The sequence below is a fragment of the Homo sapiens genome, chromosome 3 (assembly GCF_000001405.40).
Source record: "Homo sapiens chromosome 3, GRCh38.p14 Primary Assembly".
NCBI lineage: Eukaryota > Metazoa > Chordata > Mammalia > Primates > Hominidae > Homo > Homo sapiens.
In genome coordinates, this window is record NC_000003.12 from 8,610,523 (window position 1) to 8,635,859 (window position 25,337).

The 25,337-nt window shown below is 49.1% G+C and overlaps 1 protein-coding gene and 1 long non-coding RNA gene across 36 annotated transcripts in view, besides 7 other annotated features; both read right to left on the bottom strand.

The window, feature by feature from the left end:
- The window catches only part of LOC107986009 (uncharacterized), a 38,712-nt gene extending 37,291 nt beyond the window's left edge, over positions 1-1,421 (bottom strand). Inside the window, exons 1-2 of the long non-coding RNA XR_001740420.3 lie at positions 1,336-1,421; positions 706-837 (exon numbers count right to left, since the gene is read on the bottom strand). This is a non-coding gene — a long non-coding RNA (uncharacterized LOC107986009). The remainder of the gene's footprint in view (positions 1-705; positions 838-1,335) is intronic.
- Positions 156-1,037: an enhancer, noted in NCBI's record as "H3K27ac-H3K4me1 hESC enhancer chr3:8652364-8653245 (GRCh37/hg19 assembly coordinates)". NCBI's record gives its function as "activates a minimal SCP1, AML or CMV promoter by ChIP-STARR-seq in primed H9 embryonic stem cells {active_cell/tissue: H9 hESC(primed)}" and the evidence as "EXISTENCE:reporter gene assay evidence [ECO:0000049][PMID:30033119]".
- Positions 1,038-1,918: an enhancer, noted in NCBI's record as "NANOG-H3K27ac-H3K4me1 hESC enhancer chr3:8653246-8654126 (GRCh37/hg19 assembly coordinates)". NCBI's record gives its function as "activates a minimal SCP1, AML or CMV promoter by ChIP-STARR-seq in naive and primed H9 embryonic stem cells {active_cell/tissue: H9 hESC(naive and primed)}" and the evidence as "EXISTENCE:reporter gene assay evidence [ECO:0000049][PMID:30033119]".
- SSUH2 (ssu-2 homolog) overlaps positions 8,864-25,337 on the bottom strand; it is a 62,542-nt gene continuing 46,068 nt past the window's right edge. For 24 of the 35 annotated variants that reach the window (XM_047448236.1, XM_047448234.1, XM_017006515.2 and 21 more), the window contains 12 exons: positions 25,237-25,335; positions 24,778-24,859; positions 23,876-24,123; positions 23,144-23,473; positions 21,527-21,587; positions 20,283-20,407; positions 19,142-19,204; positions 17,176-17,261; positions 15,707-15,799; positions 15,020-15,125; positions 13,027-13,134; positions 8,864-9,492 (listed from right to left, as the gene is read on the bottom strand). In XM_047448236.1, coding sequence (XP_047304192.1) covers positions 9,346-9,492; positions 13,027-13,134; positions 15,020-15,125; positions 15,707-15,799; positions 17,176-17,261; positions 19,142-19,204; positions 20,283-20,407; positions 21,527-21,587; positions 23,144-23,473; positions 23,876-24,123; positions 24,778-24,859; positions 25,237-25,335 — 1,548 coding nt within the window. In that variant the 3' untranslated portion in view covers positions 8,864-9,345. Of the gene's footprint in view, positions 9,493-13,026; positions 13,135-15,019; positions 15,126-15,706; positions 15,800-17,175; positions 17,262-19,141; positions 19,205-20,282; positions 20,408-21,526; positions 21,588-23,143; positions 23,474-23,875; positions 24,124-24,777; positions 24,883-25,236; positions 25,336-25,337 lie in introns of those variants that run through there. The other 11 variants (NM_001256749.3, NM_001256748.3, NR_046358.3 and 8 more) reach the window with 10 other exon arrangements.
- Positions 12,328-12,948: an enhancer, noted in NCBI's record as "H3K4me1 hESC enhancer chr3:8664536-8665156 (GRCh37/hg19 assembly coordinates)". NCBI's record gives its function as "activates a minimal SCP1, AML or CMV promoter by ChIP-STARR-seq in naive H9 embryonic stem cells {active_cell/tissue: H9 hESC(naive)}" and the evidence as "EXISTENCE:reporter gene assay evidence [ECO:0000049][PMID:30033119]".
- Positions 12,328-13,144: a biological region, named in NCBI's record as "H3K4me1 hESC enhancer GRCh37_chr3:8664536-8665156".
- Positions 12,381-12,675: a silencer, noted in NCBI's record as "tiled region #1018; HepG2 Repressive non-DNase unmatched - State 12:CtcfO". NCBI's record gives its function as "represses a minimal TATA promoter and a strong SV40 promoter by Sharpr-MPRA in HepG2 cells {active_cell/tissue: HepG2}" and the evidence as "EXISTENCE:reporter gene assay evidence [ECO:0000049][PMID:27701403]".
- Positions 12,765-13,144: a silencer, noted in NCBI's record as "fragment chr3:8664973-8665352 (GRCh37/hg19 assembly coordinates)". NCBI's record gives its function as "represses an EF-1alpha promoter that drives an FKBP-Casp9 reporter gene in an ReSE screen in HepG2 liver carcinoma cells {active_cell/tissue: HepG2}" and the evidence as "EXISTENCE:reporter gene assay evidence [ECO:0000049][PMID:32094911]".
- Positions 19,001-19,090: an enhancer, noted in NCBI's record as "active region_19390". NCBI's record gives its function as "activates an Ori minimal core promoter by ATAC-STARR-seq in GM12878 lymphoblastoid cells {active_cell/tissue: GM12878}" and the evidence as "EXISTENCE:reporter gene assay evidence [ECO:0000049][PMID:35858748]".

A 25,337-nucleotide genomic window follows, 5' to 3' on the forward strand; every position in this document is an offset into this window, starting at 1 on the left:
TATACATGTTGTGTGTGTGTATGTACTACATACACCATATCTTGCATAATATGCATTGTAAGTAATTCTAGTCGCACAATGACTGGTAGAGGGGAGGCTCACCCAGGGCTCTACTGGTCACCTTGCCCTGAGCAATGATCACATGCAGGAAGCTGTGGATAGGACCCTTACTTGCCTTCCAAACTGAAGATGTTTCTACTCTCAGGTGTGGCTAAAGAGGTTACCTGGGACCAGTATGAGGAAACTGCCCCCTTGATTCCATTATCTCCACCTGGCCCCACACTTGACACATGGGGATTATTATAATTCAAGGTGAGATATGGGTGGGGACAGAGCCAAACCATATCACATACCAAGTACTCAGTAATTGTTATTACTATTAATTCTTTTTTTTTTTTGAGATAAGGTTTCACTCTGTTGTCCAGGCGGAAGTGCAATGGCACAATTACCAATTACTTGCAAAGAGGCCAAGCTGGCCTCGGCAACAAAGCAACCTGGGCCCACAACTCCTACTGAAGAAGAACAACCCACTTTCACCCAGCAGCTGCTGTGCTGGGACCTCCCAGCTGCAGCCCCAGGCGGCCAAGCTGCTCTCCTTACCCAGCCTCCTCTGACAGTTCCTGATGGAGAAAAGGGGAGCCTGCTGTTGCTGTCAGCTGGTCTGCACATTTGTGCCCTGGGCACCGCTGAGGATAACACACTCACCAGCACACCATGTTGACCGGCACGTTGCATTTCCACCCAGAATTTAAAACCAGGCAGTGGCCTGGCTCTGCACTTCCCGACTCTGTGACTTTGGGCAAGCGATTGAAACCCTCTGGACTTCCGTCTCCTCATCTGTAAAACGGGGATAAAAACAGCCCCTCCTTTATAAGCTTGTTGTGAAGACTTAGGGTCTGACCCTTGAAAAATGGTTAGAATAGTGCCTGTAACTTGGGAAAAGCTTAATAAATGTTTGCCATTGTTAGTACCTGAAGGGATCCCTTAAAAAAGCAAGGAAGTGGGGGAGCAGCCAAGATGGCCGAATAGGAACAGCTCCGGTCTACAGCTCCCAGCGTGAGCGATGCAGAAGACGGGTGATTTCTGCATTTCCATCTGAGGTACCGGGTTCATCTCACTAGGGAGTGCCAGACAGTGGGCGCAGGTCAGTGGGTGCGCGCACCGTGCGCGAGCCGAAGCAGGGCGAGGCATTGCCTCACTCGGGAAGCACAAGGGGTCAGGGAGTTCCCTTTCCTAGTCAAAGAAAGGGGTGACGGATGGCACCTGGAAAATCGGGTCACTCCCACCCTAATACTGCGCTTTTCCGACGGGCTTAAAAAACGGTGCACCACCCACCTGGCTTGGAGGGTCCTACGCCCATGGAGTCTCGCTGATTGCTAGCACAGCAGTCTGAGATCAAACTGCAAGGCGGCAGCGAGGCTGGGGGAGGGGCGCCCGCCATTGCCCAGGCTTGATTAGGTAAACAAAGCAGCCGGGAAGCTCCAACTGGGTGGAGCCCACCACAGCTCAAGGAGGCCTGCCTGCCTCTGTAGGCTCCACCTCTGGGAGCAGGGCACAGACAAACAAAAAGACAGCAGTAACCTCTGCAGACTTAAATGTCCCTGTCTGACAGCTTTGAAGAGAGCAGTGGTTCTCCCAGCACGCAGCTAGAGATCTGAGAACGGGCAGACTGCCTCCTCAAGTGACCCCTGACCCCCGAGCAGCCTAACTGGGAGGCACCTGCCAACAGGGGCACACTGACACCTCACACGGCAGGGTACTCCAACAGACCTGCAGCTGAGGGTCCTGTCTGTTAGAAGGAAAGCTAACAACCAGAAAGGACATCCACACCAAAAACCCATCTGTACATCACCATCATCAAAGACCAAAAGTAGATAAAACCACAAAGATGGGGAAAAAACAGAACAGAAGAACTGGAAACTCTAAAAAGCAGAGCGCCTCTCCTCCTCCAAAGGAACGCAGTTCCTCACCAGCAACGGAACAAAGCTGGAGGGGGAATGACTTTGACGAGCTGAGAGAAGAAGGCTTCAGATGATCAAATTACTCTGAGCTACGGGAGGACATTCAAACCAAAGGCAAAGAAGTTGAAAACTTTGAAAAAAATTTAGAAGAATGTATAACTAGAATAACCAATACGGAGAAGTGCTTAAAGGAGCTGATGGAGCTGAAAACCAAGGCTCGAGAACTACGTGAAGAATGCAGTAGCCTCAGGAGCCGATGCCATCAACTGGAAGAAAGGGTATCAGCAATGGAAGATGAAATGAATGAAATGAAGTGAGAAGGGAAGTTTAGAGAAAAAAGAATAAAAAGAAATAAGCAAAGCCTCCAAGAAATATGGGACTATGTGAAAAGACCAAATCTACGTCTCATTGGTGTACCTGAAAGTGACGGGGAGAATGGAACTAAGTTGGAAAACACTCTGCAGGATATCATCCAGAACTTCCCCAATCTAGCAAGGCAGGCCAATGTTCAGATTCAGGAAATACAGAGAATGCCACAAAGATACTCCTCGAGAAGAGCAACTCCAAGACACATAATTGTCAGATTCACCAAAGTTGAAATGAAGGAAAAAATGTTAAGGGCAGCCAGAGAGAAAGGTCGGATTACCCTCAAAGGGAAGCCCATCAGACTAACAGCAGATCTCTTGGCAGAAACCCTACAGGCCAGAAGAGAGTGGGGGCCAATATTCAACGTTCTTAAAGAAAAGAATTTTCAACCCAGAATTTCATATCCAGCCAAACTAAGCTTCATAAGTGAAGGAGAAATAAAATACAGACAAGCAAATGCTGAGAGATTTTGTCACCACCAGGCCTGCCCTAAAAGAGCTCCTGAAGGAAGTGCTAAACATGGAAAGGAACAACCAGTACCAGCCACTGCAAAATCATGCCAAAATGTAAAGACTATCGAGACTAGGAAGAAACTGCATCAACTAACGAGCAAAATAACCAGCTAACATCATCATGACAGGACCAAATTCACACATAACAATATTAACTTTAAATGTAAATGGACTAAATGCTCCAATTAAAAGACACAGACTGGCAAATTGGATAAAGAGTCAAGACCCATCACTGTGTTGTATTCAGGAAACCCATCTCACGTGCAGAGACACACATAGGCTCAAAATAAAAGGATGGAGGAAAATCTACCAAGCAAATGGAAAACAAAAAATGGCAGGGGTTGCAATCCTAGTCTCTGATAAAACAGACTTTAAACCAACAAAGATCAAAAGAGACAAAGAAGGCCATTACATAATGGTAAAGGGATCAATTCAACAAGAAGAGCTAACTATCCTAAATATATATGCACCCAACACAGGAGCATCCAGATTCATAAAGCAAGTCCTGAGTGACCTACAAAGATACTTAGACTCCCACACATTAATAATGGGAGACTTTAACACCCCACTGTCAACATTAGACAGATCAATGAGACAGAAAGTCAACAAGGATACCCAGGTATTGAACTCAGCTCTGCACCAAGTGGACCTAATAGACATCTACAGAACTCTCCACCCCAAATCAACAGAATATACATTTTTTTCAGCACCACACCACACCTATTCCAAAATTGACCACATACTTGGAAGTAAAGCTCTCCTCAGCAAATGTAAAAGAACAGAAATTATAACAAACTATCTCTCAGACCACAGTGCAATCAAACTAGAACTCAGGATTAAGAATCTCACTCAAAACCACTCAACTACATGGAAACTGAACAACCTGCTCCTGAATGACTACTGGGTACATAACGAAATGAAGGCAGAAATAAAGATGTTCTTTGAAACCAACGAGAACAAAGACACAACATACCAGAATCTCTGGGATGCATTCAAAGCAGTGTGTAGAGGGAAATTTATAGCACTAAATGCCCACAAGAGAAAGCAGGAAAGATCCAAAATTGACACCCTAACATCACAATTAAAAGAACTAGAAAAGCAAGAGCAAACACATTCAAAAGCTAGCAGAAGGCAAGAAATAACTAAAATCAGAGCAGAACTGAAGGAAATAGAGACACAAAAAACCCTTCAAAAAATTAATGAATCCAGGAGCTGGTTTTTTGAAAGGATCAACAAAATTGATAGACCACTAGCAAGACTAATAAAGAAAAAAGAGAGAAGAATCAAATAGATGCAATAAAAAATGATAAAGGGGATATCACCACGGATCCCACAGAAATACAAACTACCATCAGGGAATACTACAAACACCTCTACGCAAATAAACTAGAAAATCTAGAAGAAATGGATAAATTCCTGGACACACACACTCTCCCAAGACTAAACCAGGAAGAAGTTGAATCTCTGAATAGACCAATAACAGGAGCTGAAATTGTGGCAATAATCAATAGCTTACCAACCAAAAAGACTCCAGGACCAGATGGATTCACAGCCGAATTCTACCAGAGGTACAAGGAGGAACTGGTACCATTCCTTCTGAAACTATTCCAATCAATAGAAAAAGAGGGAATCCTCCCTAACTCATTTTATGAGGCCAGCATCATTCTGATACCAAAGCCAGGCAGAGACACAACCAAAAAAGAATTTTAGACCAATATCCTTGATGAACATTGATGCAAAAATCCTCAATAAAATACTGGCAAAACGAATCCAGCAGCACATCAAAAAGCTTATCCACCATGATCAAGTGGGCTTCATCCCTGGGATGCAAGGCTGGTTCAATATATGCAAATCAATAAATGTAATCCAGCATATAAACAGAGCCAAAGACAAAAACCACATGATTATCTCAATAGATGCAGAAAAGGCCTTTGACAAAATTCAACAACCCTTCACGCTAAAAACTCTCAATAAATTAGGTATTGATGGGACGTATTTCAAAATAATAAGAGCTATCTATGACAAACCCACAGCCAATATCATACTGAATGGGCAAAAACTGGAAGCATTCCCTTTGAAAACTGGCACAAGACAGGGATGCCTTCTCTCACCACTCCTATTCAACATAGTGTTGGAAGTTCTGGCCAGGGCAATTAGGCAGGAGAAGGAAAAAAGGGTATTCAATTAGGAAAAGAGGAAGTCAAATTGTCCCTCTTTGCAGACGACATGATTGTATATCTAGAAAACCCCATTGTCTCAGCCCAAAATCTCCTTAAGCTGATAAGCAACTTCAGCAAAGTCTCAGGATACAAAATCAATGTACAAAAATCACAAGCATTCTTACACACCAACAACAGACAAACAGAGAGCCAAATCATGAGTGAACTCCCATTCACAATTGCTTCAAAGAGAATAAAATACCTAGCAATCCAACTTACAAGGGATGTGAAGGACCTCTTCAAGGAGAACTACAAACCACTGCTCAAGGAAATAAAAGAGGATACAAACAAATGGAAGAACATTCCATGCTCATGGGTAGGAAGAATCAATATCGTGAAAATGGCCATACTGCCAAAGGTTATTTACAGAGTCAATGCCATCCCCATCAAGCTACCAATGACTTTCTTCACAGAATTGGAAAAAACTATTTTAAAGTTCATATGGAACCAAAAAAGAGCCCGCATCACCAAGTCAATCCTCAGCCAAAAGAACAAAGCTGGAGGCATCACACTACCTGACTTCAAACTATACTACAAGGCTACAGTATAGTACTGTATAGTACTACAGCATGGTACTGGTACCAAAACAGAGATATAGATCAATGGAACAGAACAGAGCCCTCAGAAATAACGCCGCATATCTACAACTATCTGATCTTTGACAAACCTGAGAAAAACAAGCAATAGGGAAAGGATTCCCTATTTAATAAATGGTGCTGGGAAAACTGGCTAGCCATATGTAGAAAGCTGAAACCGGATCCCTTCCTTACACCTTACACAAAACTTAATTCAAGATGGATTAAAGACTTAAACGTTAGACCTAAAACCATAAAAACCCTAGAAGAAAACCTAGGCATTACCATTCAGGACATAGGCATGGGCAAGGACTTCATGTCTAAAACACCAAAAGCAATGGCAACAAAAGACAAAATTGACAAATGGGATCTAATTAAACTAAAGAGCTTCTGCACAGCAAAAGAAACTACCAGCAGAGTGAACAGGCAACCTACAAAATGGGAGAAAATTTTCGCAACCTACTCATCTGACAAAGGGCTAATATCCAGAATCTACAATGAACTCCAACAAATTTACAAGAAAAAAACAAACAACCCCATCCAAAAGTGGGCAAAGGACATGAACAGACACTTCTCAAAAGAAGACATTTATGCAGCCAAAAACCACATGAAAAAATGCTCACCATCACTGGCCATCAGAGAAATGCAAATCAAAACCACAATGAGATACCATCTCACACCAGTTAGAATGGCAATCATTAAAAAGTCAGAAAACAACAGGTGCTGGAGAGGATGTGGAGAAATAGGAACACTTTTACACTGTTGGTGGGACTGTAAACTAGTTCAACCATTGTGGAAGTCAGTGTGGCGATTCCTCAGGGATCTAGAACTAGAAATACCATTTGACCCAGCCATCCCATTACTGGGTATATACCCAAAGGACTATAAATCATGCTGCTATAAAGACACATGCACACGTATGTTTATTGCAGCATTATTCACAATAGCAAAGACTTGGAACCAACCCAAATGTCCAACAATGATAGACTGGATTAAGAAAATGTGGCACATATACACCATGGAATACTATGCAGCCATAAAAAATGATGAGTTCATGTCCTTTGTAGGGACATGGATGAAACTGGAAATCATCATTCTCAGTAAACTATCGCAAGAACAAAAAACCAAACACCGCATATTCTCACTCATAGGTGGGAATTGAACAATGAGAACACATAGACACAGGAAGGGGAACATCACACTCTGAGGACTGTTGTGGGGTGGGGGGAGGGGGGAGGGATAGCACTGGGAGATATACCTAATGCTAGATGACGAGTTAGTGGGTGCAGCGCACCAGCATGGCTACATGTATACATATGTAACTAACCTGCACATTGTGCACATGTACCCTAAAACTTAAAGTATAATAATAAAAAAAAAGAAAAATTAAAATTCCACCAGTAAAAAAAAAAAAAAAAAGAACACACATTTGGACTTAAGAAAAGTAAGATGATCCGAAGTCATTTCAAACAAGACATATAGGAAAAAACAAAAAACACAGGTGAGCACTAAATAAAAATAAGCATTACATTAAGTACTACCTGATAGGACTTTTGTGCATAACCGAGATTCTGCAGGAAGGTCAGTGGGTTACGTGCAGGAAGGTCAGTGGGTTACATGCAGGTCGGGTGAGCTGCAGAACGGCATTGCTGGATGCCTGAGCTTCCTGACTCTGTGCACTTAGTGCAATGGTGTTGCTTCCAATCATTGTAACAACCAAAAGCTGTCCCCCCAGCTTGTCAACCAAAAGCTGTCCCCCCAGCTTGTCAACCAAAAGCTGTCCCCTCAGCTTGTATCATGCGCCTGACAGGCAGAAGCCTCCCCTTTGAGGGCCACACAGGTAGGCCATGGGGGTAGGAGGGCATGGCCTCCCTTGTTAAACCAGAGCAGGGGCCTCCCAGACTTCAGCGTGATGGAGGAAGATGAAGTGAGGTCTTCCTTGCGGAATGCTTCCTCTTTCCCCTGCCACCACCAGGTTCTGTCCCTGGGACCAGCTGCTGCCCATGCCCCAGTGCACCCTGACCCAAGGGGACACCTCGTCCTGCCCTTGGCCTCCCTGACATACTGAGCTATGGAGTGAGCGGGAGCTGAAATCTGAGCCTGGAAGGTTTGCTGGGCCCTGGCTTCTCCAAGCCTCCAGGTGTTTCTCCCTTTGCTTCTCTGTCCGGTTCCCCTTGGGCTTCTGTGTGGTCCCAAGGGAGTTAGAACCCCCCTAACCCCTGCTGTTCCTGCATGAGGCTAGCCACCACACTGTTAGCCAGGACCCACCCGTGTGTGGGGTTCACGTGGTTCAGCCAAACTCGGGAAACAGCCACATGCAAACAGGACGCAGGAAAATCAGGGTTCGGCAGTAGCAGGTGAGGATGAGAGTGCTCATTTCCATATCATTTATCAGTGATGCCCTGGGGGATGGCCTCAGTCTCCCCAGCCTCCCTCAACTAGGCCTGTTAAGTCCACATCCCAGTGAGGGGATTTGGGGATCAAGAGAGTGCACCAATGGCCCTCTGAGGGGCTGCTTCCTGAGGCCACTCCTTGCTGTAGCAATCCCCTTCTGGGTGTGGGGCAGGCATCATGAGATGACGGAAGGTCTATGGTTACCCACAACCAGATGCACAGAGACCTGCCTAGCCCAGCACCACCTCTCCAAAGCTGACTCGGCAAAAGGACTGCAGAGCATCCCCTCCAGCACCACCCCCCACCCAGCCTTATACCACCAGGTGGGAGCTCCTGCCTGTGATGGGTGCACAGAGCATCAAGTTCACATCTTATTCAGTGGGCAGGCTCTAAGGTCAGCCCGTGATGTAAAAAACTGTAACTATTCGAAAACACTCTCTAAATTCCTTACATAGACACCACACTAGAGATTGGCATGCAGACCCTTGGTCCATCCAACACAGCTGGTTTGTTCTCCAGCTGTGAAACAGATCTCTATTTCTTCAATTGGGACGTGCATGAGGGGCACACACTCTCAGAGCTGCCATCTTGTGAGGAAGCTCTTGCTGCGTGGAGAGGCCACATATATGTGCTCCACCTGACAGCTTCCCTAAAGGGGTCCCAACCACCAGCCACCATCAACCACCAAATATCTGAGTGAACCAGCTTTCAGATGATTTCAGGCCCCACCCTTGAGCAGCTCCAGGCTTCAAATCTTCCAGGTGAGGCCCCAGACATGACAGAGCAGAGATAAATCATCCGCACTGTGGCTGTGTCTGAATTCCTGATCCACAGAATGGGCAGTAACATATTGCACTTTATGCCTAAGTGCAGTATTTATTGTGCATTAGGGCCAGATATTTGTGTGTATCCTTGAACATTTCAGTAATACTCAGATCGTCAAGAGGCTCCCACTAGAAGAAGCACACCAGAACCAAGACCGACAAAGGGAAAAAGCAAAATCAAATCACACGCATCATCGGGGCATTAACTTGGAGACCAGAGGCAAAGTCCTTGCCATTTAAATTATTTCTCTCATTTGTTCTACAGGAATGTGTATAGCTGAATTATTGTAGGTTAAACATATGAGTCATGGATTCCACCAGAGGAGCTGTATAAGGGGTTGGAGCTTGATAGATGATAAGCTGGTTTTTCTGGAAGGACATGCCAGGGTTTGTATGTGATTGTCCAATGCAGCCAACAGTGAACACACTCAGAGAGTGTCGGCCATCTTCCTTGGCAAACGTGAATGGCAGGCTCTGGGGACAGCCATGCTATGTCACACGATGGTACAGCCACAGCAATACCGCTCAGGATAGTCCACCGCATACACCTGGTGGTCAGTGCCATAGATGTAGTAGACATAAGTCTTTCCTTGGTACCAATAGTGAACTTCTGTGAGGGGGATCAGCTCAATGGTCTGGCGCTGAGGAAACAAATAGCCAAGGAAAATGTCAGTGTTCTGTTCAAGTCACTCACCTGCTCAGGAACTTTCAGTAGCTCCCTACTGTGTGTGGTATGAAAGGTCCTGCTCTGGAGTTGGCATTCAATATGGTTTGGCTCTGTGTTCCCACCCAAATCTCACCTTGAATTATAATAATCTTCATGTGACATAAGAGGACCTAGAGGGAGGTAATTGAATCGTGGGGGTGGGTTTTTCCCATACCATTCTCATGATAGTGAGTAAGTCTCACGAGATCTGATGGTTTTATAAAAGGCAGTTCTCCTGCACATGCTCTCTTCTTGCCTTGCCTGCTGCCATGTAAGATGTGCCTTTGCCATTCCTCTGCCTCCCGCCATGATTGTGAGGGCTCCCCAGCCATGGGAACTGTGAGTCCATGAAAACTCTTTCCTGTATAAATTACCCAGTCTCAGATATGTCTTCATTAGCAGCATGAGAACAGACTAACACAGCATTCTAAACCCTGCTACAATCTGCCTTCAATCTGCCTTTCTAGATGTATCTCCTACTGTGCTCCTTCACGCACCCTAAGCTCTGGCCAAAACCGACTTCTCATCTTTAGCTACCATTTGATTCTAGGTTTCACCAAGTGGGCACAGGCATCCCCAGGGGAGTTCCAGGGTGTACGGAAAGTCACCAACCAAGTAGGACAACTTCCAGAAGCATTAATTTTTAGATGGAGTGCTGGGGGGCAGTGGAGGATAAAGTCGGTTTAAACATGTGTGTATTAAAACAACCACAGAGGTATTAGGAAGCGGTTTCTAACATTTGAATCAAATTTTAAGATAAAACATTGACCCCGAAGACATTTGAAAGCTTAGTTGGCTGTGCCAGGCTATTTTCAGGATGGGGACCTCATTCCCTCCCACAGGGAGATGCTAAGTCCCTCATTCTCCAGCCCCTTCTCTGAGCAGTTACTCAATAACTTTCTGCAATATGAGGCCCTGAACAGAAAACAGCAGCCCACCTTGGGAGCAAACATTAGGCTCCCATCTGTACTGGCTTCTGGTGCTGTTTTGTTACTGGCAACTACACTTCGTAGTTGACATAAGAATGTTGCTCCTGATCATCTAAGCCAAGCTTTCTTGTGGACTTCCTGTGGGCCGGGCTCTGTGCAAAAACCCCTAAGTTCTTCTGCACAAGATGTTCCCCTGTCCCAGACTCAGATGTGGGGACCCAAACCCAGGGACAGGTGGCATGATTGGCCCAGGGTCAGGCCCTCTTTACTTGCAGGGAATTCTTCCTGTTGGGAAAAGAACCCCAAGTCCTCTTGCTGTAGTTGATAGCTTGAAGACCCTAGGGAAGAGGTAAACCAGGCCGGGTGGGGGGCTGAGGCTGAAGCCATCTGGCTGCTTCGACTTCTCTCTCCATTTCAGAAAAACTGCCCTGGCCATCCCTGGAGATCTGGGCAGTGGGGGTGTATTTTGAGAGGCAGGCCCCTGTTCTGTCAGAGGAGAGGCCAGGGGGCAGCATGACATTGCAGAAGGAAGAGGGGAATCAGAGTCAGGGCACAAAATTTCCACACAGCTTTCCATGTGATCTTGTGCTCCAGTTCTCTAGACCTCAGTTTCCTCATCTGTGAAATGGGAATAAAAACTCTTATTTCACAGAGTTGTTGAGACAACCAGATAAGACCCCGGTGACTGAGTTTTCTTCATATGCCAGAAACTGGAATCCAAATGACAATTTCGGAAATAAAAGTTGGAAGATGCCTCTTGAAATTTCAGTGCAAAGGACCCCAAATAGGGACTAAAGGGCACAAGGAGATGGGAGTCAATGTCAGTGCTCAGAAGGCCTGGACACTGAAGTCAGGACCACTCTTGTTTCCAGATTTTTCTATTAAGATCCAATGGAGAGCATGGCAATACCAGCCCCCCCACAACCCCCGCAATCCCCCTGCCTCTATCTGCTTCTGGCTCAAAAAGTCTCGAAGTTTGAGGCCACAAATTGCTCAAGACATCAATTGCCATCAAGTGGTCATCACGTAATTGGCTGTTTATCTGTCTGTGCAGCTGAGCCCCTGCAATAAGCAGATTCCAGGTCTCAGAGTCATGGCCATGGCTGGGAGATGGAATTTAGCCAGCTATGTCCTCATGGCTGGATTTCGGCTCTAACTTCTCCATCTTGAGTAAAATATTAGCATGAATCTTTGTTACAGCTCTAGGACCAAAGGCAAAATTAGAAAAAAGATTCAGAGAAGTGACCTCCACTCCCATTATACTCCTTTTTAAAGAAAAATGTGTATTTGCCCCCTGGTTTACCCTTCCTGGCTCCCGGAATGGCTGTATTGGCAGAGGCAGGGCCTCAGGAGACCTGAGTTCTAGTCCTGGACCTGCCACCAACAAACTGTGTGACTTAGGACAGGTAACTTCCCCTCCTTGGGCCTCAGTTTTCCCAGCTGCCAAAATATTGAAAAACTACAAGTTTTCATCTAAAAATCTGGACTTCAGACAGTCTGGAAACACTGGGTCTTGTGCCTACAGAAAGCTGAGTGTCGACAGGCCCCTTTGAATGACGCTCTGTCACCCTCCTTACTGCCTGGCCCTGGTAGGCATGTAAGTTTGCAGTGCCTGAACTGCATGATTTCTCAGCCCCCTTCCAGCTCCAAGATGATCCGTATTCATGTAGATAAAAATGCATCTTCTCTCTCCTACAAATCAGGGAGATGTGCAGACAGAGACAGAGAAGGGGAAATGCCCATTGCAAAGGACAGAAAGGGACATTTTGAGCACCGGGTGCCAAACACATTTCGAGGGTTTTGCTGCAAAACCCTCTGAGGTGCTTTAGTGTCTTTTTTCGCAGGTGAGAGACTGGCTTTGAAGGAGGGAAGTGGCTGGCCCAGGATCATGTTGGGATGCAGGAAACGCAGGATCTCAGCCCAGTCTGCAAGGTTCCTGTCCCGGCTGCTGTCCCACTTCATGCAGCTCCAGCAAAGCACATTATCAGGCCAACCTCCCACGTTAGGGTCCCCTGGCTGGCTGCAGCAGCAGCAGAAGGGGCTACTCAGGGCTGCTCCTGGGGATGTAGCAGCCACCACCGCCACCTTGTGGCCATCAGGATACAGCGGCCAAAACCACAGAGGCCAGGAGAAGACAGGGCTGGGGGTTGGGAAGTGCCAGGGGCCTCAGGGGCAAGACACTGGGCTCCAGCCAGGCCTGTGACGTTCAATCCCCACCTTTTTCTTCCCCTATCTGAACACCAGGGAGTCAGAATCAAAAATCCCATGACACCACATTCGTGCTTAAAACCCTGCAATCGCTTCTGGGAATAAAAATGCAAACTTCTCCTGCGACCCACGGTCCTTCCTGCCTCTGCGTCTTACTTGCCCTGCTCCATGCCCTGGGGCCTTAGGTCAGGCCCTACCCCTTCCCACACTCCTCCCCCGGGACCTCCCTCACCTCTACGTCCTCATCCTTCCGCTCCGACGTTCTCAGGAAAGAGGGCTCAGCAGCCCAGGAAGAGACGTCAGAGCCAGATGGCCCCTCCGCCCTGGCTCACCTGCTGCAGGACGCGGGCACGGGAGGCCAAGGCAGCGCTGTGCTCTGCAATGCCCCTCTGGGAGGCAAGAGAGATGTCTCGCAGAGGGAAGTCCACGATGGGGTACACCTGGGGGAAAGAGAGAGAGACACAGACCACCTGGCTGCCGCACCTGGAGCCTTGGAAGTCACTGGGGCTGACTAGAGCCAGAGCCAGAGCCAGACAGAGAAGGGGGCTGAGAGAGGGACCCACGGTGTGGTCTCAGGAATTTCAAAAACAGGAAAACAGGGGGCCTGCAGTCAGAGAGAGAACGCTATCACCTGCAGCCCACTGGATACCCCAGCTGCGTGCCTCCTGTGTGCCGGGCACCGCGCTAGGTGCAGGACAAGGCAGTGACCATGGCTGGTGTGGTCCCCGTCAGTGTGGACTCGTGGGGTCTGTACACGTGTAGCGGGAAAGGAACTCAGATTCATTTCTCATGTACACATTCAAACCGCCCTCTAAGGGTCAGGCACTGTCTGTGAGCTGAGGATACAAAATGAACCACAAATAAGCCCAGGCGCTTGCACTCAACCTACAGAAAGTCCGGGCACTGGGGCATCTCCTCGGTCCCCAAAGCCCCCAGATCCCCTTCTGCCAGGCTTGAAAGCCTTCCACATATTAAGGGCAAGCATAGCCCTCCCCTGGGGCTCCCTGTTCTGCCCCTCATTGTGGAACTGTGGCTCCTTCCTCCACCCTCCTCCTAAGTGTCCACCTGGGCCCAGTGCTGCTGTGGACGCTGAGGGTGAGACGGTGGTCAGAGCTCAGCACCAGGCAGGGTCAGCTCACAGAGCTGCCAGCAGCCAGTGACGCCTAGGGATGGTCCTCAGTCTGAGCTGAGCCCAGGGGGAAATCCCTAACTCAAATGGAAGAGTGGGGTGCAGGGCTTCTGGTGGGGGGATGCCTGAGGTGAGCCTTTAAAAAGCCAAATTACTGGAGCAAAGAAAGGAGGCTGACACACCTCCCTATAGTTTGAGGACCCCCATCAGAAGTCCCATTGAAGCCAATCTCTCTGCCAAGGCCAACGGCAGAGTGAGAAAACCTTTTCTGCTAAGAACCAAATAGTAAATACTTCAGGCTTTCAGACTATGTAGTCTGTCATTATCCAGCTCTGTCCCACCATCAGGAAAGCGGCCATAGACAACCTGTCAGAAAATGCGTGGGGCTGTGTTCCAATAAAGCTTTATCGACAAAGGCAGGCAGTGGGCTGGGTGTGCCAACTCCTGGCCCGCAGGACCCTCTCCTCTGGCTGAAGGTACCTCTCACTTCTGAGCTCCTAGCTCTGCCCTGCTCACTGCCCTCTGCCAGTCCTCAAGGCCTCTGCCCCACTGTCCCCTCGCTCCCACGCCACAAGGTCCACTCCCCAATTGCCCTGCATCCAGGTCTGTGCCCAAGGTCACTTCCACAAAGAGGCTTTCCCACCTCCAGCTGGAACGACACTGCCACCCCTCCCTGCCCCTTACCCTGCTTGAATGTTTCTCAGTGCCCCTTCACCATCTGACATTGCTATAAAAGGGTCCATCATAGTCCCCTCACCAGACTGTAAGCTCTATGAGGGCAGGGTCCTTGTTTTATTTGCCATGGTCTACCCAGGGCCAAGAATAGTGCCTGATATAGGAGGAGGGTCTCAAGATTTGTGGAAGGAAGGAGGGGATGAGGAAGAAAGGGAAGGAGGGGATGAGGAAGGAAGGAAAAGAGCGAGGAAGAAGGGAGGGAGGGAAAGAGAGAAAGAGAGTATTAGGAAGGAAGAACGGCATGGTGGGTGGGGAAGGACAGAGGGCTGAGTGTGTAAAAGTCAAAAGGAAACTGACAGCCCCCAGGCTCCCCACAGCCTTATCCATGTCTGGGGAGCTCTGCTCCTACACAACCTGTCCTTCCAAGGAATGCAGCCTGCACACACAGCTAGCAGCCCCAGGCCCACGAGAGCAGAGGAGGAACCCAGCTTCCTTTGTTCCCATCTACAATGCCCTCTTACCACCGAGTTTTCATCCTTAAAGAGGTTTTCTCCTTTGGCTTTAGCAAGGAGCTCCCTGGGGCAGTTGAGCCGGTGCTCAGACACAAACTCAAACAAGCTGTTCTTCCTGGAGGGAAGGAGGATGAGGGATGAAAGCACACAGTGTGGCAGGTTAAAAGCATGGCCTTTGCAATCAGACAGACCTGGGGTTGAGGGCTTGAATTGCTACTGGAGGGACCTTGCAACAGTTCTGTAGCCTCTCTGAGCCTCAGTCTCCTCACCTGTAAAATGAAGCTAGTAAGGAGAGTGACAGTTCAGCTCCATTACCTCATTTCATCTTTGCCTACAAAGCACTTAGCAAGGTGCCTGAGACAGGAGAAACCTTTAATGCACGGAAGCCCTGACTGACTTAGGGACGTAGCAGGATGCTATGGCTCTATTCCTACGGGAAGGGCTCAGTTGTGGAGCGGCTGCTGCCCTAGAAAGTGGTGATGGCAGAATTTGGACTGAGGTCTGTCTGTTCTAAAGCCAGTCAGCATCCCACAACCCCACACTGCCTCTTCCAAGGGAATTCTCCCCCTTCTAAGTCCTGGCAGGTTCTTGCACTGTGAAAGCCCCAACCAACCACAGTTTCTCTGCAGAAGCCAGTCCAGGGCTAAGTCCCTCAGCCACCCCCGCATGCCACAGCATTGAGACACTGCCACATACCACATGATGACAAGCTGGATGAAGTGCAACAGCTTCTTCTCCCCCTTGCAGGTGGCGCAGGTCTTGTTCCCTCTCCCTGAGCAAGTGCTGCATCTGAGAAAGGCACAGAGTCCGTACCCCCAGATCAGTTGCAGGTCCTGGTGGCTTCCAGAGGCTCCCACCTGCACCCCCTTCCTCCTGGAGGTAGACTGTGGTGGGCCTGCATTGTTTGTACCTGCCCACCACCTAGTCCTCCTTCTGCTGGCAGTGCCCCAATATCTCTATGGGGATCACCCTTCCCCCACCCAGCCCACATGGCTCTAGGGCCTGCCCCCCCCCCTCCCCCACCACTAAATTCTGTGAACAGCTTGGGATCTGGGACTGGCCAATCATCTTATTCCATGTCCCTGGTCTCAGTGGCTGATACAAAGATGGGCACATGACCCAGGCGAGTGCAATGAGATCTGTCCCAGGATGTTTGTCGGGACTATCGGGAAAGGGACATCTTTTCTCCTGGGATTAGTAAGCTTGGAGCTACTGGTGATCTCCTCTGCCACTACAAGGAACCCCCTGCCTGCAAATGAAGCCCACACAAAGGAAAGCAGAGTGAGAGGTGGATACAGATTCCTGGTGGTGTTGTTTAAGCACCCGGATCCAGCTGGGCCTGAAGCCATCCCTGAAATATACCCCTGGACTTCATTCTTACCTAGGCCTGTAAATCGACTTTTTTTGCCAAAGCCAATTTGAATTGGATTCCTTTCACTTGCAAATGAAAGAAAAATAAGTGTCTTTTTCCCAGTCAGAGACTGTCTCTACCAACCACGATGGAAGGTGCCACCAAAGCTTCTCCAACTGGCTTGTCAGAAGGATGGCCTGGGCTTTAATGAGGCAAAAGTATCATTAACCAACCCAACCTTGAGTATTTTTACTCCTCACGGTTTCCTGTTTCCCTTAAAAAGTTATAAATACACTAAAGGATAGGATTTACAAAATGCAATGGCCCAGTGTTTGCAAAGCTGTGAGCAGTGATGAAATTTTGTTTATTGTTTAGTCAATCAACCAACTTTCCTTGACTCCTCCTCCATTCAGACCCCAAAATGAGTTATAAATAGGGGCTTGCCCAGGAACTGATCCTCAGTGAGTTAAAAATCTGGCCTTTAGGTGGTTTTTGATATTCACTTCCCAACCCGTGGGCGGGAGAGGTCTCCTTTCCTGGTAACCCCGTCCCTGTGTTTCCTCCCTGCAGTGGCTCTTTCTTCACACTCTTTCCACATATATTGCATGACGAGTTCCAGCCTTGTCCAGAAATGCCAGGCCTTGAGAAAAGCTCACCTACTCTTCAAATAACCACAGAGCACCTACTACGTGCAGAGCTCTGGGGACACAGCAGTGACGAGACAGATGGGTTCCTGTTTGCCTTCCAGATGGGCAGGCAATGAAAAGCCAGAAAGCAAGAGCACTTCACCGCGGTGCTGGGGAGATGCCCCTACCTTCGCCTGCCGGACCCCGCGCACAGCTGACATCTCCGGGACTGCTTGGCTTTGCGCTTGGCTCCGCAGCAGGATGGGCACCGCACCTGCAGACACACCACTGCCTCAGCCCCCGCTGGCCTCCCAGGAAGCAGGGCCAACGGCATCCCAAGACCTGGTTCAAATCCCAGCCTGGTGACCTTCCTCCCCCTGGGCCTTAGCCCCTTCATCTGTAAAATGGTGCGGGGTGGAGATGGGGTATCTTTGGATCCTTCCAGTTGTAGCTTTCAAAGCCTCCACTCCCTAAGATCCCTGTTTCTTTTGAGACATCAGCCTCTCCTGCCTCTTCTCTGATCCCCACAACCCCTGAGACCTGACCCCTACCAAGTGTTGAGAGGAAGCTGGGACACAGGCGCTGGTCAGGGGCCTGGCACTGGAGACAGGGGGCTCCTTTTGAGAAATGGCCCCCAGAAAAGGCCTAGGCTGTGCTCCCAGTTGGGCTCATGGTGGGCTCCAGAAACATTCCAGGGAAGACCACCGCTGGGACCCACAGGCAGTGCAGGAGTGAGCTGGGGATGCAAACCCAGCAGGCGAGGGATGAAAGGGCTGGTGGAGAAGACAGTTCACGGTAGCCAGGGTCAGAGCATGGCCAAAGGATGAGGCTCGAATCAGGACACCAAAGAACGCGAGAAGTTTGGTTTTACCCCCTGGGATTGTTAATAGGCCTGAATGAAGGTTTCTGAAAAGACAACTAATGCCATGAGTAATGCCACTGAGGGGCCTGTGCTGGGTTGAATAGCGGCCCTTCCAAGTTCAAGTTTACTGGAATCCCAGAGTGGGACCTCATTTAGAGATAGTCTTTGCAAATGCATTTAGTTAAGATGAGGTCATATGACAAGGTAGGGCCTAAATCCGATGACGTGTTCTTATTAGAAGCCCATGTGAAGACAAAAAGACATGCAGGGAGAAGGCTGGGTGACAAGGCAGGTGGGGACTGAAGTGGCACAGTCACAAGCCAAGGAACACCAAGGACGGCCCGCAGCTCCCAGAAGCTGGGGGAGAGGAAGGGGATGGCTTCCCTCTCAGTGCCTCCAGAAGAACCAGCCTAGCCCACACCTTGATTTTGGAATTCTGGCCTCCGGAACCGTGATATAATAGGTGTCTGGTTTGTTGCTGTTGTTTGTTTTTTGTTTTTTTGAGATGGAGTCTTGCTCTGTCGCCCAGGCGGGAGTGCAGTGGCACGTTCTCCGCTCACTGCAAGCTCTGCCTCCTGGGTTCACGCCTGTCTCCTGCCTCAGCCTCCTGAGTAGCTGGGACTACAGGCGCCCGCCACCATGCCCAGCTAATTTTTTGTATTTTTTTTTAGTAGAGACGGGGTTTCACCGTGTTAGCCCAGATGGTCTCGATCTCTTGACCTCGTGATCTGCCCGCCTTGGCCTCCCAAAGTGCTGGGATTACAAGTGTGAGCCACCACGCCCAGCTGTGTCTGTTGTTTTAAGCCACCCATTGGTGGTCATGGCTTACAGCAGCCGAAGGAAACTAACTCAAGTGTCACTGTCTACTTTGTCTCTCCAAGCCTTCCAAACTTTACCTGCTCAGCACCCACTGCCCTGCACGACAAATGGAGTTGCTTGTTGGTTTCCCTGGCTGACAAAGACTGCCTGGTAAGAAGAACCCCAGGTCTTGGCCCTCTTACAGGACCTAGAGGTCAGAGCCAAGCAGGTATTCAGTGTATGTTGGTAGATGGATGAGAAAATAAGAGAAAAATTAAAATCGAACTGTCAAAGTGAAAGTGTCATTAGAGACCACACAACCCCACTTTTTCATTTTATAGACGGGAAAATGGAGGCCCAGAAAGGGAGGATGACTTGGCTGAGATGACACAGTTACTGCAGGGAGCCTCAGGCCACCAGCCCAGCCCGCTGTCCCCAGGATCCCCCGGCCACCACACCCTCACTGACTCACCAGTGGTTCACAGATGACTCACCGTGCCCGCCCCGTGGCAGCCGCTGCACTTGTACCGCCCACGCCCATGGCATTTGTGGCATTCCTGAAAGTGCAACGCTTTCTTGGGATCTAGTTTCCCAAGGGCCACTTCTCCCACACCCATAACATCACCATCTAAACCGAAGGTGGAGTGGATCAGGACCAGGATAGGAAGATGGCACAGGAAAGAAATGGCCCTTCCCATTTGACTAAGATTCCAGAAGGCTTGACTGCATCAGGAGATCATGTCACCATTTCCTCTGAGCCCTAGCCCAATCTGGATGCCATCAAGGGGAGACGTGTTCTGGGAGCCCCATATCCTAGCTCACACTCTACGGTTTCCTACCAGGCTGAACTACAAAGGCTGATGGCATTTGCCCATAAGGTAGCTAATGTGGTCTTTGGGAACAGAAGCCATTAAAAAATGGACAGGATTTTTATGAAAGGCAATGAGCTAGCTACTAGTATTTAATCACTAATTTAAAATAGCCTTGGCCCCCTTGAGAAAGGAATAGAACACTTTCTCGACCTCTCAAAGTACTCTTTATCTTAGAACTCTGTAAAAACTCATAGAGCAAAATTGCACCCTTAAATCCAGTCCAAAAGTGTAAAGCAGGCAGTAACCGGAAAAGAACACAATATGAGCTATCTCAGTCGTGTTTTTGTAATCCACTAGGCTCCTCTCCCTTCACGCCACGAATATATGTCCATAAAGCAGGATGGAAGTCAGATTCTGTTTCCTTACTGACTCTCATGCAAAATCCCAGCAGGGTTTTAAGTTTTTATTTTATATCAATTTCATTCAGCCCTTCAGCTGTTTAAGCTAAAATAAATTTTTAAAAAAGATGAAAACTACACTCAACCTGTCCAGGAATGTCACTGCTCACTAAAGCTGGTGACGATTTGTAAATCGGATGATCTGTTTGCTAGGTGAACACTCCCAGATTTGCTTGGAATTTTATTTGGGACTACATTCCATATACCAGGTTTTATTAAATTACGTTTATTTATAACCAACAAATGAAGCACCGGCCTGAATTTTGGGTTTCCCTTCAAAGGATGAGTTTGAGGAAACATGCAGTGCCTGGAAAGCCTCTCAGGGAGAAGGGCAAGTATTCCAGTAATCGCGTTAATCGTATTACCTTGACCAGTGACGAGTGAGGGACCTGGAACTTCCTGGTGTCTTCCTGAAACATCGGAGGACCTTGAACCTTGATGTCCCAGAGCCTGGGGGAGGCGCCTCTTTGCGGCCCATCCACAGAGTGGTCTGACACAGAAAGGGGTCATTGTAAGAATGACGAAGGGCAGCAGGGATAAACTTTCATTTATCCAGCAAACAGCATGAAGCCTTCAGTTGGTGCCAGGCATGAGTCTAGATCCTGGGGCTACAGGGATGGATAGTCAAGGCCTTCCTTGGAGGCAGTGACTAAGCAACCAAGATTTAGAGAGAGACAGATCTGGGTTTGACTCCTGGCTCTTTTATGTCCTAGCTGTTTGACTTTAGAGAAGTTTCTTACCCTCTCTGAGCTTCCATTCTCTCATCTCTAAAATGGGGATAGTCATGGCACCTACCATACAAGATGGTAGTGAAAATTAAACGGAAGAATGTATATAAAATTGTTAGCACCAGGAATGGCACATACTGAGGGGATGACACACAAGAATTGTCACCATTATCATCACCATCCCCTTCACCATCCCATCTTCTTCCTCTTGCTCTGTTCAAGGAGACAGACAGCACACCATCACAATAAGATATGATAGGATATGATACATGCTTTGGACAAGAGTTGCATAAAGGGCTCTGAAAACTCAGAAGACTGGCCCATCCTGCTGGGAGGGGAGCAGCAGGAGGAGAAATCCTGAAAAGCTTCTTAAAAGAAGTGACACGTGAGCTGAGTCTTGAAGAATGGACCTGAGCGGTCTGTTAGGGAAAACAAGGAGGACATAGATCTTCCCAAAGAGAGAAGCTTAGGCCTCCAGTGGGGGCTCAGCAGAAGGTGGGGTGGCAAGGCGAATGGGGAGCACAGGGGCCTAGAAGCTTAGGAGGAATTAGGGGTGGCATGAGGGGGTGTAGGTGAATGCTTAGACACGCATGCTGCTTTACAGCCCGGCCCCGTGTGGCAGCACCAGACTGTAGCAAAAGCAAATGCTTGGCTTTTTCAGGACCTCCTGCTTCCTGGGCAGGAAGCATTTCCTAAGATAAGCACTGGAAAGTCTCTGAGATGAAAGTCCATCCTCTCATTTTGCAGGGGGTAAGGAAGCCAAGGCTCCAAGCAGAAGACCATCTTATTTGAGATGAGTGCCTGAGCCAAGTCCTGATATTTTCCACCAGCACCCTGACTTATTTGCCCCCAGTTAAACTAATTTCAGACAATTCACTTACTAGTAAAGGGTTGAAATGTCCACTCGCTTATCCTGGATTCACTAAAGGTCTCCAGACGGTACTAAAAGGAAAAAAACAGCATGTTCACACTCGTGCCCCTTATGAAGACAGAGCATTATGCAAAAAGATGAAGCTGTTACCCTCCCAGGGCTCAGTGGGGAAACTGAGAGGTCCATGCACAACACCCTCGGCTGCTGGAACTGGCTGACAACAGCGATTTCTGTTCCACGTGCCCCCATGTCTGCAGGGAAGTCAGCCAGCCCCAGGAAATCTCCCCTGACAGGCTCAAACTAGAGCTAATTCAGTTCCCCATGAATTTATACAAAGATTCTATGAGACAAGCTTCAGAGCAGTAGCTGTCTTTGATAGATGGAGGTCCCTGGAATCTATGGCTTTGAGATTTCCCTTATGGAGGAATTTATCTCCCTGATATCAAGATCTTCCTTCTTGATCTTCATCCATAGGGTGACAGAATGGGAAGAGGTCTTGGACATCACTTGCCCTCTCCTTTTACATGTGAGGAAATGGAGGCTCAGAGAGGTCAGCTGACTTGCCCAAGGTCACACAGCCACACAGTGGCCTCTTCTTTCAGATTCCTGCTCTAACCACTGCCTGCAAGTGATTATGTGCTCCTCAGAGGGTGGCTGGATGAGCAGCACTAGAAAATGTGACTGTAAAAGCTGCTCCTCTGCTCTGTCAATACAGGAGACAGAAGTGCCTGTCAGAGGCAGGACTTCCCTGCAGCAATGAATAAAGAATTTCTTGGCACAGTCATGATCTGGGGGAGGCAGAGGGAGCTGAAGTCTAGTGGCAGGTAGATGAACCTCTCTCAGCCCATGCCTTGTGGAAGTATGAAGTGAGGACATAGGCTTTGAGGCTACCAAATCTGAGTTTGAATCTCACCTCTGTCACTTCTAGCTGCATCTTCTTGGGAAAATCACTTTGCCTCTTTAAATTTCCAATTTCTCGTCTGTAAACCAGTGACAGTGATGCTACCGTATAGGGCAGCCATGAGGATTTGACAAGGCGTGTGTGTAGCATGCGTTCTATGATGCCTGGCATGTTCAAGCCTGTCAGTGGTGTTTGATGACGCCTTTTTTTTTTTTTTTTTTGAGTTGGAGTTTCGTTCTTGTTGCCCAGGCTGGAGTGCAATGGCACCATCTCAGCTCACCACAACCTCCGCCTCCCAGTTTCAAGCAATTGTCCTGCCTCAGCCTCCCGAGTAGCTGGAACTACAGGCACCCACCACCACGCCCGGCTAATTTTTGTATTTTTAGTACAGATGGGGTTTCACCATGTTAGTCAGGCTGGTCTAACCTGACTCACCTCAGGTGATCCTGACCTCAGGTGATCCACCCACCTCGGCCTCCCAAAGTGCTGGGATTACAGGCATGAGCCGCCGCACCCGGCCTGACACTTGTTCTTTTTATTATCACTCACAGCCACAGACAAGTCAAGTTGCAGATGGGATTCAACATCACCACCGCTCACACTCAAACACACTGCCCCCAGGACTCCTTTCCCCTGGCCACATCACACAAACAGGCCTCCACTGTCCCAAAGCCCCCAGCTCCCCAGCCCCCCGGCCAAGGCCCCCCACCGGCCCTGGCCTCTCACCCTGCAGAGGGTCTGCCGCTTCAGCTCCTGGATGACGAGGTCTCCAGCCACCGTGCTGCTGTAGCAGCACTTAGAGTCCACAAAGCTGAGGAGGGCTTCCCGGGCCACCTCCTCCGTCATCGCAGGGACTCTGCAGGGGACCGAACAGAGAGGCGGGGGCTTCTGGGAAGGGCCTGTGGACTCACGCGGGCCAGCCAGCCTCCTCAACGTGCAGGCGAGAAACTGAGGCCACGGTAGTGGTAAAGCCCTCAGCAGTCCAACTGGGGAGGGCATCTCCTGCAAAGGGGACCATGTGAACGGGTGCCCAGCGTGAGAACGGGGCAGGTTTTCCTAGAGAACAGCCAAAAACACTTTAGTTGAAATGTGGAGCTTAGGAGAAAAGCTGATAGAATCCTGCAACTGAAGAAACACAACCTTAGAGAGGAATTGTACCATTTTATAGATAAGAAAAACAGAGGTCCAGAGAGGATGTCGCACAGTTAAAAGGAGGCAGAGACAGGCTAAATAAGGCTCCTGCCCTCGGGTACCTTGACCTTAGCCAGAGGAGCTGCTAGCAACATGATGGGAAGACCCCAGCCAGGCACTGGCCCAGGGCTGATGGCAGCGCCCATGGAGACTCACCCTGAGGACCGTGGGTGGGACGACAGACAGGGACCCTAACCTCGGCCCTCTTTCTGCATGCCTCCCCCTCCTCCTGGAAGTCCCTTCCCTGAGGCCATGCCACCCCCTTACTGAAGTCTTTCTGGCCCCAACACCTCCAAGAGGAAAGAATCCTCCTTCCTCCCCTTGCATCTTCATGCATTTCTCCATGGCAGCCCTGAGAGCCATTAATCCACAATTCTGCACACTTGTATCTCCAGCATCCTCCAGCCCTGGCACACAGAGGGGCCCGTCTGTCTTCAGATCCATGGATGGCAGCACAAGAGACACTGTGGGCTGGAGAGGCCAGAGATGACTCCCCGGAGGAAGCAGGGTTCTTCCTAAGCATGGAAAGTGGGTGTCCATGGAGGAGAAGGGGGTTGCTTCTGGCAGCAGCAGGGCCAGAAGCCCCCGGGAGAAGCCTCTCATGCTGCCCAGGTGAGAGGCTGGATTGAAATAGGGGGCAGCTCCACCTTCTCTCCGCACAAAGCTGGCTGGAAACCCTGAGCTCGGCCCTGAGTCCTCTCAAAACAAGGTGGATATGGGCCTTTCCGCGGATCTAGACCAGGGTCAGCAAACTTCTGCAAAGGGCCACATAGTGATATTTGAGGTTTCGTAGCCCACATAGTCTCTGTCTCAATTACTCAGCTCTGGAGTAAAAGCTGCCAGAGACAATACACAGCCAATTGAGTGTAACTGTGTTCCAATAAAACTTTACTCCAGAAATGTGCAGTGGACTGGATTTGGCCCACAGACAGGAGTTTGCAACCCTGATCTAGACTATGGTTTTCAACGCTGGCTTTGTTGCCAAACCACCTGAAGAGCTTGGTAAAATGTAAATCCCTAAGCCCCATCCCTGGAGGATCTGGTGCAGTAGGTCTGGGGTGCAGACGGCCCCCTCCAGGGATCCTGATGCACTGCCAGGGCTGAGATCCTCAAGGGGCAATAGTGACATAGGAAATGCACACAGTCACAGAGTACAACCTGAAACTCACCTGTGTTCCAGGAACGAGGGCCAGGACCTTTGCTCCTGGGGCCTCCCTGGGGCCTCCAAAGGTGGGAAGAATATCTGTCCTCCTGGAGAAGGGAAGAGTCAGGGGCTGGACAGCCCAGGCCAAAGGAACAAATATTTGTGTGGTGGAAGAAGGAAAGACTGATTGAATGTGAGAAAGAACAGATGAAGAAACAGTGATGCATTTAATGCAAAAAGAATGGGGACTCCAAGACCAGCACCATCTAGGTCTTAGTGGGACCTGTCGCAGTCATGGACTGTTCATAGACAGAAGGCCTATGCCCCATTGCTTCCTCTTTCCACCTGCCCAAGATGAGGGGCTTCCCAGGGCCCCCCCAGGGAAAGGGGAGCTATCTCAGCACCACCTTTTTCCCGAGACATCCCACCAACCAGCGTGAGCCCTAGGTAGAAGCCCAAAGAACCAAGCCCTCTTGGAACTTACTGCCCCCTTGAAGAAGCCAGTCATAGCTGGGCAGTCTCTCCAGGAGCTCTGTGGGGGGCGCCAGAGGACTCTCGGCCTCAAAACTGAGGTCCACCACACCT